The following is a 17,434-nucleotide window of genomic DNA, read 5'->3' on the forward strand; positions in this document are numbered from 1 at the left end:
CCACATCCATACCCGTGCAAGCACACGCTCACGCACACACATGGGTGCGGGTGTGGTCCAGGAGCCGGGTTCCAAGTCAGGTGGGCCTTGTTGAAATCTCAGTTCCACCTCGGACCTGCTGTATGACCTTGGGGAACTTGGAATAACCTTTCTGAGTCTCCAGTTCCTTATCTGCAAAGTGGGGTAAAAATAACGTTTTGAAGTAGAGTTGCTATGAATGTTTGCAGGTTAAAATCCCTGGCGGTAAGCGTGAGTTCGTCCTCATGGTACCAAGATCAGACCCCACCAAGGGCTGGCAGCTCTGGAACCAGCACAGAGTTGTACCTTCTAGGTGCTTGTGAGGTGAGAAAAGCATTTGGAGAGAATTTATCAGTGTTTCCTTCTTCATCTTTTTTCTTTTTTTTTTTGACAGAGTCTGGCTCTGTCGCCCAGGCTGGAGTGCTGTGATGCGATCTCAGCTTACTGCAAGCTCTGCCTCCCGGGTTCATGCCATTCTCCTGCCTCAGCCTCCCGAGTAGCTGGGACTACAGGCGCCCGCCACCACGCCCGGCTAATTTTTTGTATTTTTAGTAGAGACGGGGATGTTAGCCAGGATGGTCTCGATCTCCTGACCTCGTGATCCGCCCACCTCAGCCTCCCAAAGTGCTGGGATTACAGGTGTGAGCCACCACGCCCAGCCTGTTTCCTTCTTCTTTAAGCCAGTTCAGCCCGTTTCTAATCCCCGAAGCTCTTTGATTGTGCCCTCAGTGTAAATACTGAAGATACTTTGGTAGTAACAACAACAAAATAAATCATTGAAGGTAGAAGAATGTGTCAGGAGAGGAAAAATGGATAGTCCCTCCCAACCTGATCTCTCTATTTAAGTGATTTGGATCGGAAGAGCAAACAGTTTCTAGCAGATGTTAACACCAGTTAAATAATTAATTCCACGAGCTCAATCATGGTGTTGGCAAGTCAGTGACCTAAGGCCTCTGTCTGAGCCTGAGCGTCGAGTGACTCAAACATCGATTCAGGCATGAAGTCAGGCTTCAGGCTGGGCAGGGACGGGGTGGGGCCACCTTAGGGTTTCCAGGCCATCTGTAGCTGAAAGCCAAGTGCGACCAGCAGGTCAGCACCCCTGGCCTACCCTGGCATTCACTTCCAGATGCCTGGGAGGGTGGCGTGGCTTTAAGAGCTCTCGGGAAGGCCAAGGCCAGTTCCTGGCTGGAGATGGCTGTGGCCAGTGTCTTGGAAGCATCCAGGCACTGACAGGATGACTAAGTTTCTCTCCTGCTTGGAGAGCAGGGGGGATGATTACCAGGAGTGGAGAAACTTGCCTTCTTTTGGAAAAACGCAATGAAGGGATTCAATTTCCAGAGCAATTAATCTAGTGCCTCTGGGGATTTTACCTGTGACTTAGGAGCTGCCTTCTGTGACCCCATTGAGGCCTGGGAAGACCGCCCTTCCTCAGTGCTGCTCGGAAGAAAGCGTTTGATTCAAGGAACACAGCACAGGCACCTCATGAGTTATGCATGAAAAATCACCAAGGCACACAAAGCCGGGCTGGCAAAGACCAACCTGATGGCACAGGAAGGACAGAGGCTCCAGTCGAAAGAGGCCACGTCCTCAGAGGACCTCGGGTGCTGGGTCAGGATGACAAGGGTTTACGTTTAGAATGAGTTGGGATAATGTCCAGTGACTTGTTTGGTTCTTTGAGTTAAAAAAAAAACACAATCAGCATTTATGTAACAAGTCTTTCAATTCTGCACGGTTGCCAGGGCCCTCTGCGGCATCCTGCTAAGCAGGCATGACGGATGACGGGTGAGCCAGGGCCATTGGCCACAGCCCTTTCATTTTCCTGCAGAGCTCATCAGGAAAGGCTGCTCTGACATGGAACCAGTAAGCTCTTCCCTCTACCTGCCGGGTGATTCACACGGGCTCTGAACCAACGTAAGTCCTGTGCTCACTCATGAACAGGAGGGTTAGAACTCTACCCGCTCAGGGACCACTTACTGTGGTCTCCTGTATCTGATCTTTCTAAGGAAGGGAGAGGGGGCAGAAGCCCAATTCTTTCATTTTCTCACTGTGGAGACCTGAAAAGTGACCCTTCCCAAGATATTTTTACTTCCTAATCTTCAGAACCTGTGATAAATATCTTACATGGTAAGAGATGAGATTAGGTGAGGGATCTCTTGAGGAGGAGTTGATCCTGGATTTGCCTGGTGGGCCCTAAATGCAATCACAGGCCTCGGGGTGGGAGAAAGGCAGAGGGGTTTGGTCACAGACACACAGAGAGGGCAGTGTGGAGATGGAGCCGGGAGGTGCAGCTGCAGCCAGGGGAGGCCTAGAGCCCCGCAGAGCATCAGGAGGCTGGAAGGAGCCTTCCTGGACCTTCAGGGAAGCTCGCCCTGCCTGCACCTGGAACCGAGATCACAGGTCTCTAGCTGCAGTTCTGTGCGCCCTGCCTGCACCTGGAGCCGAGATCATGGGTCTCTGGCTGCTGTTCTGTGAGCGGGTAGATCTGCTGGTTAAGGCCACCAGTCAGTGCCATTTGTCTCGGCGTCCATGGGAGAGAAACACAGTCCCTTTCTCCTTCCTGGAGCCCCCTCCCCTGTCCTTGGCTTATGTCCTCTGGCACGTCCTGAGCTGTGGCCACAGCGAGCCTCAGGCTCCAGGCCTTTCTGCCCAGCTTCTGCTATGGCCTAGCATGGTGGACCCTCCCTCACGTCCCATCCCTGACTCCCCTCATCCACCCAACTGTCCCCGCTCAGCCGCTGCGACCGCTCCCAGGAGAACGCTCTGTTCATTGCTCGGCACTGAGGGTTGTTTTATATAAATATCACTCGCGACAGTGGATGCCTCTTCAGGGTGGAACCCACGTGGCAGCTGGTGTGTCCCTGTGGGCAACTTGCTCATGACTTTGCACCATCACTGGAGGTTTAACAAAAATCTCATTTATTCAATTCCAGGCTGGAGGTAGCCTGCATCATTTCTTCATCTGGTAGGTAGTTTTCTTTTTTTTTTTTTTTTAATTCGGGATTTAAACCCTTTCTAGGAAACAGACATCTCTAGAGAAAAATGAAAGCATAAATCTACCTCTATAAGCTTGAACAAATAAATTACAGTAAAGCACTGTTAACTCAAACTAACTTGAAGGAAACGCTGCTTATTAGCAGGAAAGATCATTTAAAGTAAAATACACATGGTACCACCTTTGATCACTGTGGATTCTGGAGCAATGTTCATATTCCATGCAAGGATGCCAAGGGCCAGGTTCCAACGTGGGATTGTTTCTCCCGCCCCATGAGGGTCCATTGCCAAGGAGGGACACACGCAGGAAAATGGGAATTTAAAGGATTGCTGACTGTGTCTCCCAATGCCCCAACGAAGGACTCCAGAAAAGTGAGCAGGGGCCGGGCATAGAGCCCAGGCGAGGGTCCCAGGCTAGGCCTCGCTCCCAGCTCCTTGGAACCTCAGCCCTGCTGGCTCCAGAGGCCAAGACTCTGTGATACAGGAGTTATTAAGAAATAATTTTTAGGCAGATAGTAAAGGTAAAGGTTCTTGGTGTAAACTTTCCTGTAATAAAAAACACCCGAACCATCTCTTTTCTAACAGAAAAGGCGGCTTGAAGGGCCGGACTGGCAAGCTTTGATATGCAAATGCCGACCATTAGAAACTGGATACCTCAATATGGCAATTCCCGCTGTCTTCTCCTTGCCAGCACGTGTACCAAGTTCATGGCCACCTCCAGATAACACCAAGTGTTGGGAACATCATGGTGACCCACATTTGCATATTAAAGGGCTAAGGTGGGAGGGCCAGGTTTTTCTCAGGCTATGTAAATGACACACCTGGTCAAGCCAATCCCCTCGGCCTTATGCAAACCAGACACCGCCTCCTCCAGCGTCCCAGTATAAGCAGCCACTTTTCCGCCCCACACGGGGGTTTTCTCTTTGTTTGAATCCCCCTCCCTCTGCTCTGTACAGGGGAGCTGCTTTCTTCTTCCTTCCTTCTTTCTTGCCTATTAAACTTTTTGCACTGGGCCTGACACCCCTGCCACTGGCCAGGGGCTGAAGGGGCCTGGACCCAAGTGACCAGTAAACAGCCTCGATCTCTCTCTGTCTCTCTGCATCTCTGTCTCTGTCTCTCTCTCGTCCAAATCTTCAGAGGCAGCCTGGCCTCCTGGGGATGGTGGGCTAGGCCTGTGAGGTTGGGGGGATCCAATCACTAAGCGGAAGGTGCAGAGCCCAGCCCACCCTGCCTCCCTGGCCCCACTGCTCTCGGAGGCATGGAACACACTGCCTCACTTCCTCACCACGGCCAGTGGAGACGGGGCAGGGGTCTGGCATTTGAAAGGGCCGTCCTGTTCAGCCCTGCCCCTGGAGAACCAGCCTCGGGTGTGCCTGTGACGGCTCCATGGAACAGGCCACTATAGATTCCGCCGTGACAGTCAGGATGTTGGAGGGCCCCTGCCACCATAGGGCCTGACTTGGGGCAGCCAGACCTGAGTGGGAGCAGGGATGGCCTGGTGGGAGAGGCCTCGGCTCACCACTCACTGGCTCTGCAACTCTTACTAAACCAGCACTGACAGCCACAGCCTCAAATCCCTCTGGTGCAAGCTTGGAGTTCGCGTTCATCCTTCCGTGTTTTCCGGGGGCTGAGCACGTTTCTTCCCGGCCTCCTGCTCCCCACAGAGATGAGGCTGTGCTTGGGTCACAGCTTCCCCTTCTGGAGGTTACATTCTGCTCCATCTTCAGTGTCTGTGATATGGGCGTGTGTCTGTTATGTGTGTGGCTGTGTGTCCCTGTGTGTTTGTGTGCTGCATATTTGTGTGTATATGTGTGTTGTGTTTTGTGTGTGTGGTATTTCTGTGCATTTGTGTGTCTGTACGCTCTGTGTGTATCTGTGCATGTGTGTGTCTGTGCATGTGTCTCCATATTCCTGTGTGTGTGCATGTCTGTATGCTCCCTGTATGCATGTGTGTGTGTATGCTCTATGTGTCTGTGTACATGTGTATATGCTATGTGTGTGTGCATATGTCTGTACACTCTGTGTGTGTCTGTGCACGTGTGTCTGTATACTATGTGTGTGTGCATGTGTATGTGCATGAGTGTGTCTGTGCCTGTGTCTGTACACTCTGTGCATGTATGTGCATGTGTGTGTCTGTGCATGTGTGTATACTCTGTGTCTGTGCACATGTGTGTCTGTATGCTATGTGTGTGCATGTGTGTCTGTGCATGTGTGTCTGTACACTCTGTGTGTGTTTGTGCAGGTTGCATGTGTGCATGCGAGACCTTGCTTTGTTTGCCACATGTGGCAGCTCCCTAGGAAGGCGCCTCTGCAGGGTCCTGCTGCTCAAGCCTTCCCGCTGAGCTGCCTTCATGCTGCCCTGACCCACAGTTGAAAGCTGAGCTCTGCAGCCCGTGCCAGGAGCTCTTCTTGCTGTGTTTTTGCTGCAGGAAGCAGCAAAATGGGTGCTGGGTGGAAACTGGAGCCAGGCCCCTCCACGTGCTGCTCTCGGGCCCCTGGAGATGACCAGGCCAGTGAGGGTGGGGCCCTAAAAAACCTGTGGCCATGGGAGGGTGTGCCCGAGCCTGGGGTCTCCTCCTCACGGGGGCCCTGGCCACCAGCTGGGTGTGCACTTGCAGCCCCAAACATGCCCCGCGGATCCCACCCTCCAGCGTTGCTGGGTCCTGCCTGGCGCTGTGCTTCCTGCCAGCAGAGGGTGCGGTGACAGCCTGCCCCGTTGTTCCCTGGTGCCCCGAGTGACTCTGTGCCCCAGAATCCCTAGGCTAACCTAAGCCCCAGTGTGGCTGCATTGGAGATGGGGCCTTGAGGGAGATCATTAAGGTTAGACGAGGTCATGGGGGTGGGCCCTGACCCCATGGGATTAGTGTCCTTGGAGGAAGGGATGCTGGAGAGCTCTCTCTTTCTCTCTCTCTGTGCACAGAAGAAGGAAAGACCTGTGTGGGCACAGCAGGGAGGCAGCCCTCTGCAAGCCAGGAGGCAGCCCTCTCCAGGAACCAGCCCTGCCCACGCCTTCATCTCAGACTCCATCCTCCAGAACTGTGAGAAAACAATTTCTGTTGTTAAGTAGCCGGGACGACAGGCATGTGCCTCCACACCCAGCTAATTTTTGTAATTTTGTAGAGACAGGGTTTCACCATGTTGCCCAGGCTGGTTTCGAACTCCTGGACTCAAGCAATTCACCCACTTCTGCCTCCCAAAGTACTGGGATTACAGGTGTGAGCCACTTTGCCCAGCCTCCAGAACCTTTTTATTTTCCCAAATGGAAACTCTGTCCCCATTAAACGCTCACTCCCCTTCCTTCTCCCTAGCTCCTTGCAGCCCTCACCCTCCTTTTTGTCTCTGTGGTTTGACTCCACTAGGGAACCTCAGATCAGTGGGTCCCACGATTATTGTTTATGCTGCTTGTATCTTTAGACATAATTGAGTTTTGAAATAAAAAAAGAAAATCAAAAATAAAACATCAAATTTTAAATCAAGAATTCAAGCTGTCTTTATTTATTTTACAAACAATAACATGGCCACGTGAATTCACGATTCTAATGAAGTGTGACCTAGTCCTGCCACCCTGAATTCATCAGAGATCAGGGGCGTGGCCTCGGGAACCTCAGGTCTCAGGGAATCCACCAGGCCTTTCCCACACAACCAAAGCGAGAAGCACAAGCACATCTCAGCGTCTCTGCAAGTTTGTCGTCTTTCCTTGACTTCAACCAAATAGTCACAGAATTCACCTCTAAGAGTCAGGCCCAGGAGAATAATTAGCAAATCAATGTAATTTTTATTCCTTGTCTACTGGTATGAGAACTGTTAGATTATCAAGCCACTCTGTAATGAATGTCTCTTAATTAGTGGAGTTGACTTCACAAAACCCACTATGAACATATTTGGGGCACAGCCCTATGCTATAACCTGTAACAAAGCAAGGCCGTCATGAGCACAAATTCAGGGCAGGGCTCAGCTCTGAGGGGAGGGCAGTGGTGGGACCCCCGCCTTGGGTCCAGAGTTGTTTTTCTTAAGCTGGGTGGCGGGGCAAGGATATTCGTTACTGCCTCGTTGTACTGTGTAAGCGTTTTGTTGGTGCCTATCCCATCGAGAATACAGAACAACAGACAGAGGACACTGGTGCTCACTGGCTAGCCAGGGGGGCAGCGGGGCAGCAGGCAGGGCCGGAAGGCGTGAGAGGGGCAGAGGCGCTGCAGGATCCCCAGTCTGGAGACGTAGTTTGGAACGTCTGGAGATCCCCAGTTTGGAACGTAGCACAGCGTGCGTGGGGGGCAGGGGGCAGGGAGCAGGAGGGTCCACACTTGCGTGGGGCAGGGGCGGGGTCTACACTTGTGTGGGGCGGGGGCGGGGTCTACGCTTGCGTGGGGCAGGGGCGGCGTCTACACTTGTGTGGTGTCTACACTTGCGTGGGGCAGGGGCGGGGTCTACACTTGTGTGGGGTGGGGGCGGGGTCTACACTTGCGTGGGCATCTGGAGGGTCAGGGAGGCTTCTCCGGACTTCATCCTGAAGGTGTAAATGCCACCCTCCTGCTGGGGTTCTGGAGGTTTCCTTGTGGTTCTGGGGTGGCCGGGGACCTGATGTGGGTCCTCATGCCCAGGGGGACCGAGGATCAGCCTGGGGCTGGGTGAGGGCCCGGATCTTGGAGGCTGCAGCTTAAACAGAGAAAAATGAGCGGATTTGAGAAATTTTCAGTTTCAGAGATGAAATTGACAGGCCAATGTGGTGAGTTGGAGCAGGAGGCTGAGATAGGGTGGAGCTTCCGAAAAAAGAAACAACATTTAGCTGAGATACAGCAGTACGCACAATGCCGAGCGCCTACTGAGTGTTCATGTTCCGGCAATTTCACCAGTCATTTTGTCTCTCAACCTCCATGGCGAGGGGGTTCTCTCTGCAGTCAGCCCCTCCCCAGACAGAGCCACCGCCTGGATCCGGGGATCTGAGGATGAAATCTCTGAGAGCCCCTCGTGGGCCCTGGAGGACAGATGAATCCGTGATGGGCAGCACGGATCCGGGGATCTGAGGATGAAAGCTCTGAGAGCCCCTCGTGGGCCCTGGAGGACAGGTGAATCCGTGATGGGCAGCACGGATCCGGGGATCTGAGGATGAAAGCTCTGAGAGCCCCTCGTGGACCCTGGAGGACAGGTGAATCCGGATGGGCAGCACCCCCTCAGGCCCATTGTGAGTGGGATCGCGTTGGCTTCCCCCATGGGAGATGCCACTGCAAAGTCCAAATGCCTGAAGAGCCCCGACGGAGCCACGCCAGCCGGTTCTTTCTCCCCGAGGCACCTGCTGAGCTGCCTCGTTGACTTCCCACCCCAGTGGTTTGGAAAATGGGATGCCCATCATTTGAGCTGTGACTTCTGCCCCCTCTCACAGCCGCGTTGTGTCTTCACTTCACATTAATGTTAAAAAAAAAAATAGGGGCTGGGCACGGTGGCTCATGCCTGTAATCCTAGCACTTTGGGAGGCCGAGGCGGGCGGATCACGAGGTCAGGAGATTGAGACTATCCTGGCTAACACGGTGAAACCCCATCTCTACTAAAAATACACAAAAAATTAGCCAGCCGTGGTGGCGGGCGCCTGCAGTCCCAGCTACTCTGGAGGCTGTGGCAGGAGAATGGCTTGAACCCTGGAGGCGGAGCTTGCAGTGAGCCGAGATCGAGCCACTGCACTCCAGCCTGGGCGACAGAGCGAGACTCCGTCTCACAAAAAAAAGAACAAAACAAAAAGGAAAGGCACGCGGCAAAGTCTCCAAGTACAACCTGTGACGTATTTTGCACTACTTACTCCATTCGATAGAAGCTGGAGAAAAAGGATGAGTGCCCCTGCCTGGAACCAGCCATGGCATTTACATCATGATGTCAGTTTGACTCAACGTCCGTCACTGCACTTACATCACTTCATAAGCAATTTCCCAACATTTCTGACGCTGTAGTCACAAAAAAGAAATAAGGAGTCATGCAGGTCAGGTTTTGAAAATAGATCTAAAACCCAAGGCTATACTTTCTAATAGCCAGTCATGCATAAGATTTAAAATTCTCCTCTTTCTAACACTTTTCCATGTAGATGTTCTTGTCCAGCCTCATCTCAGCAAGCTCAAATGAGAGTGAAAGGGGTATTGGTCTGATGTGGTCAGCAGATGTGGCCTTATGCCTCCATGGGTCACTCGCAGGTTTGATTGATGCTCGTTGACTTACGGACGTTTCTGCCTGAGCGCTGTCTCAGGCCTCCTGGGGCTCGCTCTCCACCAGCGATTCCTCCCTCAGTTTCCACGTTTGCTTCTGTGACCGGCCTTTCCTTGGGTGCGTAGAAATAGTCACATCTCATATGTGGTTAGAAAATTATCCCTCAGCACTGGGTCCCCTTCTTTCTCTAATTCTTGCCTTCCCTTCACAGCGAGTCTACTCAGGACAGCGCCGTGGCAGACACGCACGTGGCCAGGCCCCAGGGGAGCTGTTCACACTCTTGTCCACGTTTGCAATGTGCACGGGTGCAGCTCTGTGCAGCCACTCTGCCGGGCGACCCTTTCCCGGCACCTGCCCTGGAAGCCGCTGGGCCCTGTGTCTCTGCACTGCCTCCCATTGACACTGCTCTCACCGAGGTCCCTGGGGGTGCCTTTCACCCTTCCCCAGCCGCTTAACCACATCCGTACTCAGCATCTCTGCAGCACTCAATACTACTGACCATGGAAATCCCGGCTTCCTAGGCTTCGTGACCTTGGTGGAACTGGGTTTTCTCCTCCTGTCTGTGGGGCCTCTGTCCCTTCAATGCAGGTGTTCCTTGGGCTCTGTTCCTGCACCTGACCCCTCCCTCTCCCTGCACCTGACCCCTCCCTCTCCCTCTCATTTCCATGGCTCCAGTTATCACTTGTGCACCAAAAACTCCCAAGCACAAGTTCGACCAAATGACCTTCCCTGGAGAGCACCTGCCCTGCACGAGCCGCCTGGCGACCCTTTCTCCACCCCTGCCAGAGGGACCTCGCCAAACTCAGAGGTGAGCAGTCCTCCACCTTGCCAAACATCCTCTGGGCGTGGCAGGGAAGGTCGGATGCATGGGCAGGCGAGGGCCTTGCTGATCTGACCCCATCTACCCGTTCCCCTCCCCAGCCCAGTCACTCACCATTCCTGCCCCTCCAGGGAAGCCCTGGGCTCCATTTCACAGAACACATGAGCGTCCTAAGAAGATTCCGAGTTCTTTCATGTTCTCCTTCTGTGTACATGCTACTGTGGACAACCGCAGTGTCATTCATGACGCAGCTCCCGCTCCCTCTCTCTCCTCTGGAAGCTTCCATGACACCCTGTGTGGGGTGAGACCCCCACCAACCACCTGCCACTGTCGCACCCCACCTGCCCGTATCGGAGAAGGTACAGCCCCACCCCATCACGAACAGGAAGCCCACTGGACAGAGCTACATCTGACACCGTAGGGCCCTCCCTTTCGGTATCTTCCAAACGGCTCATTGTCGATTAAATAGGAAATCATTAAGAGAAATACCGACAGAAACTAAATATTTCCATGGCCACTTAGACACAATACTAACTAAATATTTCCATGGCCACTTAGACACAATATTTTTTGGGGGACTCAGGCTTTTTCTCCGGCAGGAACTCACTGGGGTTTGTGTCTTTCTTGCATGAACAAATGCCGAATGACTCCGACAATTTTCTGCTCATTTCCGCAGAGTAGGGTGAGGACTTCACAACCCTGCAGAGACAAACACGCTTTGGGACTTTTATGATTTCTCCATCTGCTCCTAAGTCAACAGCAATTTTTGTAAAGCAGACAGAGTTTCTATCTTTCCAAAGCATTCACCTTAGTTTTTGAGAGAAACAAAGCTCTCTCCTTTCATGCTCTGCATCTTAGATATCATATTAGCATATTGTATTAATCACCTCCAGTCTTTTCTCTTTGATCACATTTTTTCACTAATAACACATGTGACTTCAAGCACAGTTTAAATGAACTACCTAATTTGTAACAGAGTAAATGGGAATTCTTCAGGAATTCCTGACCCCAGGTGGTCACTGAGGGACCTCGCTTCTTTCGGAGCAGCATGGGAACCTCTTGTCGGCTCAGGGCTGTCTGCGTCCAGACCCCAAACACCTCGCCCTGCTGTCTTTCCTCACAGCAGCCCCATCATTTGCAACTCTCTGCTTTCATTTGCCTATCATCTTTCTTTCCTTCCAGAACATGAGAATCGTGAGGACAGGGACTTTTGTCTGTTTACATTATCACTGTGTATAACTACACTAAAGAGCAATATTTCAGGTGCCTGATACATAAATATTTGTTGAATAAATAAATTTTCCTTTTTACTCATCTCACCATCAGATGGAGTTTGCATTCATTAAAAATTAGGTTTGGCTCTCGTTACAGATATTCAAAATGTCAGGAGTTTAAACAGGGCAGAAGTTTATTTCTGTCTCTCTTGAAGGTCAGGTGCAGAGACTTCGGGGCTGGTCACAGAGCCCAGACTGCTCTGGGAATTTGTGGGCCAGGACGCAGCCTCGGGCAGGGCTCCCGGAGCCGTGCCCCCATTTCTTTCCCATCCTTTGTCCGGAAATTACACACATGGCCGCACTTACTGCGATGGGCGGGAGAATGTGGTTTTCATTCCAAGAGGCCGCTGTTTTTCCTGTAGACAGTGGGTAGAACAATTAGCAGCAAGAAGCACCCTGCTGCAAGCTTGCCTGTGTGATGAGGTGGAGAGGCACTGAATGCCCCTTCCTCGTCACTGTGCTCACTTTGGTGGAGGCTTATCATGATCGACTAGGACAATTTTCTAGCATGTCTGCACCGAATCTCTTCCCGATAGAATTGAAGGTGAACTCAGGGCAGCATGGAGTGCCCACCTGGCCTCCTCCCAGTGTGTCTGCGTCTCCGCTTAGTCTCCGAAGTGAGTTGTTTGGTTGCATGTGGATCGGCCTTTGGATGGGAAGGGTCAGGAACCCTCACTGGATGACCCTCGCTTTCCAGAGGCGGCACAGGACAGAAATCACACCTGCCCTGTCGAGGGTGGACAGAGTTCATGTGGAGCCTGGGATTTGGGTGGGTGATGGGGGCGGGGGACTTTTCATAGGTTCAGCAGAAGAGGAGGGTGAGGGAGGGCACAGGGCGAGCCAGGCCGCGCGTCACGGGCAGGACACGGCCGCTTCCCTTCCAGGTCTCCTGCTGGTGGGAACAGGAGCGCATGTGCCCGGGAAGCTCGGTGGATAAAGGCTGTCGCTCGCGCTTGTTTGGGAAACTGGGGGGAAGTCCTGATGAAAAAGGGGTGCCTGGGAGTGGGCTGGAAGAGCTTTAAAATGCCAGGCTGCTGGGGTAACTGTGGGGTGTGGGATGCCCGGGCTCCCCAGACCCCTTCGTCAGCAGCTTCGCGTGGCCTCCTTCATTCATACATCCCCAAGCCACAATGGAGCAAGGCAGAGAACTGCTGTGGCCCCGAGGTAGGGGGAAGAGGGTCCGGAGTGGCTCCAGGCACCTACAAATGTCTCCTAGGGATGGGGTCTTTGAGGACCTCAGGCTGCCTTTCCCATCACCTGTTTTAGTGACCTTCGTATCTTCTCTTTTTAATTTTTATTCTTCTGAAATCAGCCTATTTAGGAAGTACAGTATAATACCTATAAATATTCTCAGCCTCGGAAAGATTTACTTTTATAAAATACACAACTAAATAAGTCGTGCAAAACATCTGATGTAAGATATTTATAATACAGGCCTCTCCCTGAGCTAGTGGTGCCTGGAGCCAGGGTTCCCAAGAGTCCCGGGACCCAAGTGCACATCACAACCTGCAGAAGAATCAACACCTCATTCAGACACTTAACCCTGTGATGTCAATATCTGTAGATACACATGAGATTGGCAAAGTAGAGATGTGTTTTCAGAGTCCTCTTGATTTCACAGTGGCTTTTTGTCATTTTTTTTGGTTGTTCATTTCAATTAGTGGACAGTAAGAACACCTGTGCTACCCGTGAGCAGCCAGCACAATGTATTCTGACATCAAACAGCTCCTTAGAAAGTCTGGGAACCCTGCCATGAGACGTCATGCAAATCCAGTTGAGAGTCCTTTGTCTCTTATGATTCTAAACAAAAGTACCACCTTCTTCAGGGAAAGTGGAATTGACCCACCCTGTGACCGGCAAGTGCCCGCTGGAGGGCACCTTCCCTGGGGGGTAGTTTAGTTTTCCTTTCAATGCCGTGAACAGTTTCACTTCCGATTAAGCACCAAAGCAAAAGATATACAGAAATAGTTCATTTGGAAGAGGATGGAGTCAAATCAGCTGTTTTTCTTTTTATTATACTTACTATAATTTAAAAAAATCCTAAATGAAGGCGACATGGAGAGATTTCCTCCTGTTAGGGACGGGCCTGACATCGCGCATCTCAGGTCTTCTGTGCAGGCAGAATCCACGGCGAAGACGTGCCTTGTTCATCACCTGTGCAGAGAACGAAGAAAGCAACCTTCATGCTTCCCTTTCTCACTAGAAAAACAAAAGCATGAGTCTGGAATCTATGCAACGTGATATTGTTTTAGAAACTGCGGAAATTTCTGTTTCTATTCTGGGGTGTTTTCCAAGCACCACGATGGTAGCACAACGCTCACCTGCCCCAGCTTGATTCGTCAGATTTCACCAGCTCACTGCACAGGATGCATAGGTGGTGCACAACAGCGTGTGCAGCTTACTGCTTATAAATCAACTAGCTTGCTCATAAGACACCGTTACTGCAGACTTTTTAATCTCTCTTACCCTACCCCTGGGAAAAGGACTGGTAAGTGTAACGTTCATGAAGTATCTTGCATAGGCAAGGATTTACTCAAATGCCAAACTCAACTTAAACCTGAGTTTTTCAATGCTAAGCATTGGGAGGCCTGAACCAGCTCCTATCTGAGGCAGCATTAACATGCTTGCCCTTCATACTAAGAGAAATATTCACTTTCTCTAGGGATGAGGAGTGGTTAGCAGAAGGAAATCAAACTTTTCTGGAAATGATTTCAGCATATTCATCTTGTAAGAATGTCTTCTGATATAATGCTTAAAAAAACAAGTGAATGTGAGAGTTGCTTTACACAATTCCCCCTGGGTTTTAGGAATTTCACCAAATACAGTCTGGGGACCTGGAGTCTTTCTGCCTGGTCAGTCCTGGAGGTGGAATCTGGAAACAGCCTTGGATCGCAGCCTTCCACTGCTGGGCTCGGCCCTCCATTGGGTCCCCCCTTCACCCCACGCCCTTTCCCAGAGGCCTCCTGCTTCTGGAACCGGAAATGTTCATTTTGGTGGGGCCGTGATTGGTGGGCTCAGAGCCAGAATTTCCCATCTCAACTGCCCTTTGAAAGACAACGGCAAGAGGGACCCAGGTGACATGGAACAGAGCTGTGTGCCTGCCAGGGAGAAAGTCTATGTACAAGGAATGCTGTGAGCCATCTCCGCTTCCAGTGGGCAAGACCAGAAGTCACCTGAACTGTGAACCTGGTGGGTCCTCTGGCCTCTGCCTCTCAGCCACTCTTTTGTGAAGAGTAAATGAAACAGCTTCTGCACAGAGCCCAGCGCTATGCTGGGTGCATCATACACATTTCAGAAAATGTACCCTGACCACAGCATGAGCCATGGTGCCCACAGAAAACACAGAGTGTGCCCGGTGGGACCTTCAGAAATGGGCGGAGTCCCCTTTGCCTCTCCCCAGTCTCTGCATCCGTTCCCATTGGGCGTGTTATCGGATGAACGCAGAGGGCTGAAGCGCTCTGGCTTTTCATTGTGGGTTTTTGAGCCAATGTAAAGACATTTGTTCCCATGGACCCTGGATTTTCAGAGACACCCAGATATCAGGAGCGGCACAGCTGGCGTTCTGTGGAAAGTCATACCAATTATTTATGATCTAATGCTTTTAGATTAGAAAAATCAACAATATCACATCTGGGGAAATAGTTGTTATGGTCCACTGTGTGATAAAAAATACAAATGATCCAAGATCCTAAGAAATATAATATTCAATAAACAGGATGTCTGCATTCTAGTGTTTTCTTTCAATTTATGTTAAGGCCTTTGTGGAATCAATGTGACTTGGTGTAGAGATGGGTTGCCCCCACTGTCAATCACTTTCAAGAGCTTTGCTACCTCCTCCTCCCAGCCTCTCCTCCTAGGAAGCATCTGAAGCTCCTGGGGCTCCCTGGAGGCAGGTGCACAGCCTGGACCCCCAGGACAGGTAGTGGTGCCATGTTTCCAGCCCATCTCCTTCCTATAATTACAAGTAGAAGAAATACATGGGCTCACGGACTATTTGATAATCCAATTAATGAAAAGCTAATCATATTAAACTTCCAGAAAAAAACATATTTTGACTAATTAGCTGCTGACACACCTCTAAAGTACTATTCCCCTGTAATTGTTGTCTGTGTATCCTTTGGTTGACTCTTCATGTGCCAAGTCTTGTATAGAGAAAATTAAAAGTTAATTCAGCAATCCAGCATGCCTGACCAAAACTGATTTTTATTACTGAGTTTAGGAAATATTTTATATAGAAAACTTCGTTGTAATAGCATGCAACTTTTTATAATTTTTTCGTTTCCTTTGGGAAAACCTCTACCAAGTTGCTTTTGTCCATAACGATGTGATTTCAGAGCTGTTTAAGTCTTCCTCTGCTCCGACCCCTTTTAAGTTGGCCATATCCATTAGTGAATTTGCTTTTAGTGCCCTCATTTTTATTATGTATGAAACTCGACGTCAACACTGTCCGTTGTGTTCCTATGAGTAACTCTTCTGTACCAACTAGCTCAGGAGCCCATGGTTTTCTTCTACTGGCAATTCCTCTTTCTTTTATGCATTCTTTTGTATGTATAGTCTGAGTGTGTATGAGTGCAAGGTGCTTGCAGACTTTCTGAGGACAAGATGTAACACATCCTGAGACATGGTTAATTAACCGCATAACCACATAACCACATAAACCACACACAGAGTCACCTGCTGTGTGTAACCCAGCTACAGTTTTGCACCACACACACAGGAATTCTGATCAACTCTATTTGGCATGGTTCATGTCAGTAAAGAAAAGCAAAGCCTGATGTACTGTTCATTGTAGATGCTGTGTTATCAGTAGCAATCCTGGAGGACTGCGTTTTTATTTTGGGTAGGCAATGCGACCTGAGTCCACCGTGTACAGTTTCACACTCTCGATGACTGGAAGAATTCTTTATAGATTGTTTCTAGCTCCTTATATTTAAACCTGATTTCTCCTCCAGTATTCACAGGCTGCCAAAGAACGTCCCCATCAGGACATGCCTCTTAGTTCTGCCCTCAGATCTAGCCAAGAGGGCCATGCTCTGGGCCTGCTTTTGGGAGGACCTCACCCTGGCCTTGCTGGGCCACCAAGCCCCACCCCACGGTGTGTCCCTGGGAGCCCTGGAGCCTGCTTCACTCTGTAGATTTGGCCAGGCATCCTGGGCCCAGGAATTCCCTACTCACCAAGCCCTGAGCCCCTTGAGGGTCTGCATAAGCCCCTCAGTGGATCTTCCTTCTGAGGGTAGAGTGCACTGCGGTGTGAGCCCCAGGTCAAAGAGGGCTGCTGGCAGGAGCCGTGGAAAGAGCATGGACCTGGAGGCCAAAGGGCCCTGCAGTGCACACATGTGTCTGGGCAGGGGGCCCAGCTGGCATCGCCACAGGCCATGGATGCCAGGGATGGGTGGGAGATGGGAGGTTTCCAGAAGGATGGGAAGAGAAAGGAAGTGCTGTCCAGAGGCCCACAGAGCACGTTCGGTCAGGAACCCGATGCTGCCCCTCTAGGGCCTGCACTTGATGAATGTTGGACTCGGCGGCTTCAGGTTTTGTTCAGTGTTTTGCTCACTGGCTCACTCTTGGCAAGTTTCTTTCTGCTGCCAATATCTATTGCCTTAAACCAGTCTTTTCCTTTCTTTTAGGGTTCTGTACCTCTGTTTGTCAACGCATCCCTTCTGAAAATTATGTAACACAAAGCATATGGCTGGGCTTAGGTCTTTATTTTCCTTTGAAATCCTTCAGCCCTACCACTATTCAGTGTCCGGCCAACAGGGAAGCCAGAGATGCCCTGGTTTAGCATCCTCCTGTTAGGGGGAGGCGGCTGGAGTCAGGTTCAGGTGTGGCCGTGGTGGCTGCACCTGCTCCTCCTGCCATCAGCGAATGGTGCCCTCCCTGGCCCTGTGCTCACCCGGCTTTGTCTTTGATGCCTCTCTGGGCCCAGCATCTCCCCGGTGCTCTCCAGGCTCCTCACATCATTCCCCCTCAGGCTGGGGCTTACCCCAGAGCTCCAGCTTCTGAGTGTGGGGTGAGGGGCCCCTGCCACTGGGCAGCCACAGAGGGCGGAAGGCATGGAGGTGACAGTGGGAACTCTTTCGGGTGACCCTGAATAGACACCATCTGTTGGAACACTGCCAGAATATTTGCCTCTTCGTGCTGATGG

At 51.1% G+C, this 17,434-nt stretch overlaps 4 annotated features.

Moving 5' to 3' along the window:
• Positions 2,784-3,490: an enhancer, noted in NCBI's record as "OCT4-NANOG-H3K4me1 hESC enhancer chr6:168608743-168609449 (GRCh37/hg19 assembly coordinates)". NCBI's record gives its function as "activates a minimal SCP1, AML or CMV promoter by ChIP-STARR-seq in primed H9 embryonic stem cells {active_cell/tissue: H9 hESC(primed)}" and the evidence as "EXISTENCE:reporter gene assay evidence [ECO:0000049][PMID:30033119]".
• Positions 3,491-4,197: an enhancer, noted in NCBI's record as "OCT4-NANOG-H3K27ac-H3K4me1 hESC enhancer chr6:168609450-168610156 (GRCh37/hg19 assembly coordinates)". NCBI's record gives its function as "activates a minimal SCP1, AML or CMV promoter by ChIP-STARR-seq in primed H9 embryonic stem cells {active_cell/tissue: H9 hESC(primed)}" and the evidence as "EXISTENCE:reporter gene assay evidence [ECO:0000049][PMID:30033119]".
• Positions 3,650-3,944: an enhancer, noted in NCBI's record as "tiled region #8070; K562 Activating DNase unmatched - State 20:ReprD". NCBI's record gives its function as "activates a minimal TATA promoter and a strong SV40 promoter by Sharpr-MPRA in K562 cells {active_cell/tissue: K562}" and the evidence as "EXISTENCE:reporter gene assay evidence [ECO:0000049][PMID:27701403]".
• Positions 9,665-10,165: an enhancer, noted in NCBI's record as "H3K4me1 hESC enhancer chr6:168615624-168616124 (GRCh37/hg19 assembly coordinates)". NCBI's record gives its function as "activates a minimal SCP1, AML or CMV promoter by ChIP-STARR-seq in naive H9 embryonic stem cells {active_cell/tissue: H9 hESC(naive)}" and the evidence as "EXISTENCE:reporter gene assay evidence [ECO:0000049][PMID:30033119]".

The sequence above is a fragment of the Homo sapiens genome, chromosome 6, assembly GCF_000001405.40.
Source record: "Homo sapiens chromosome 6, GRCh38.p14 Primary Assembly".
NCBI lineage: Eukaryota > Metazoa > Chordata > Mammalia > Primates > Hominidae > Homo > Homo sapiens.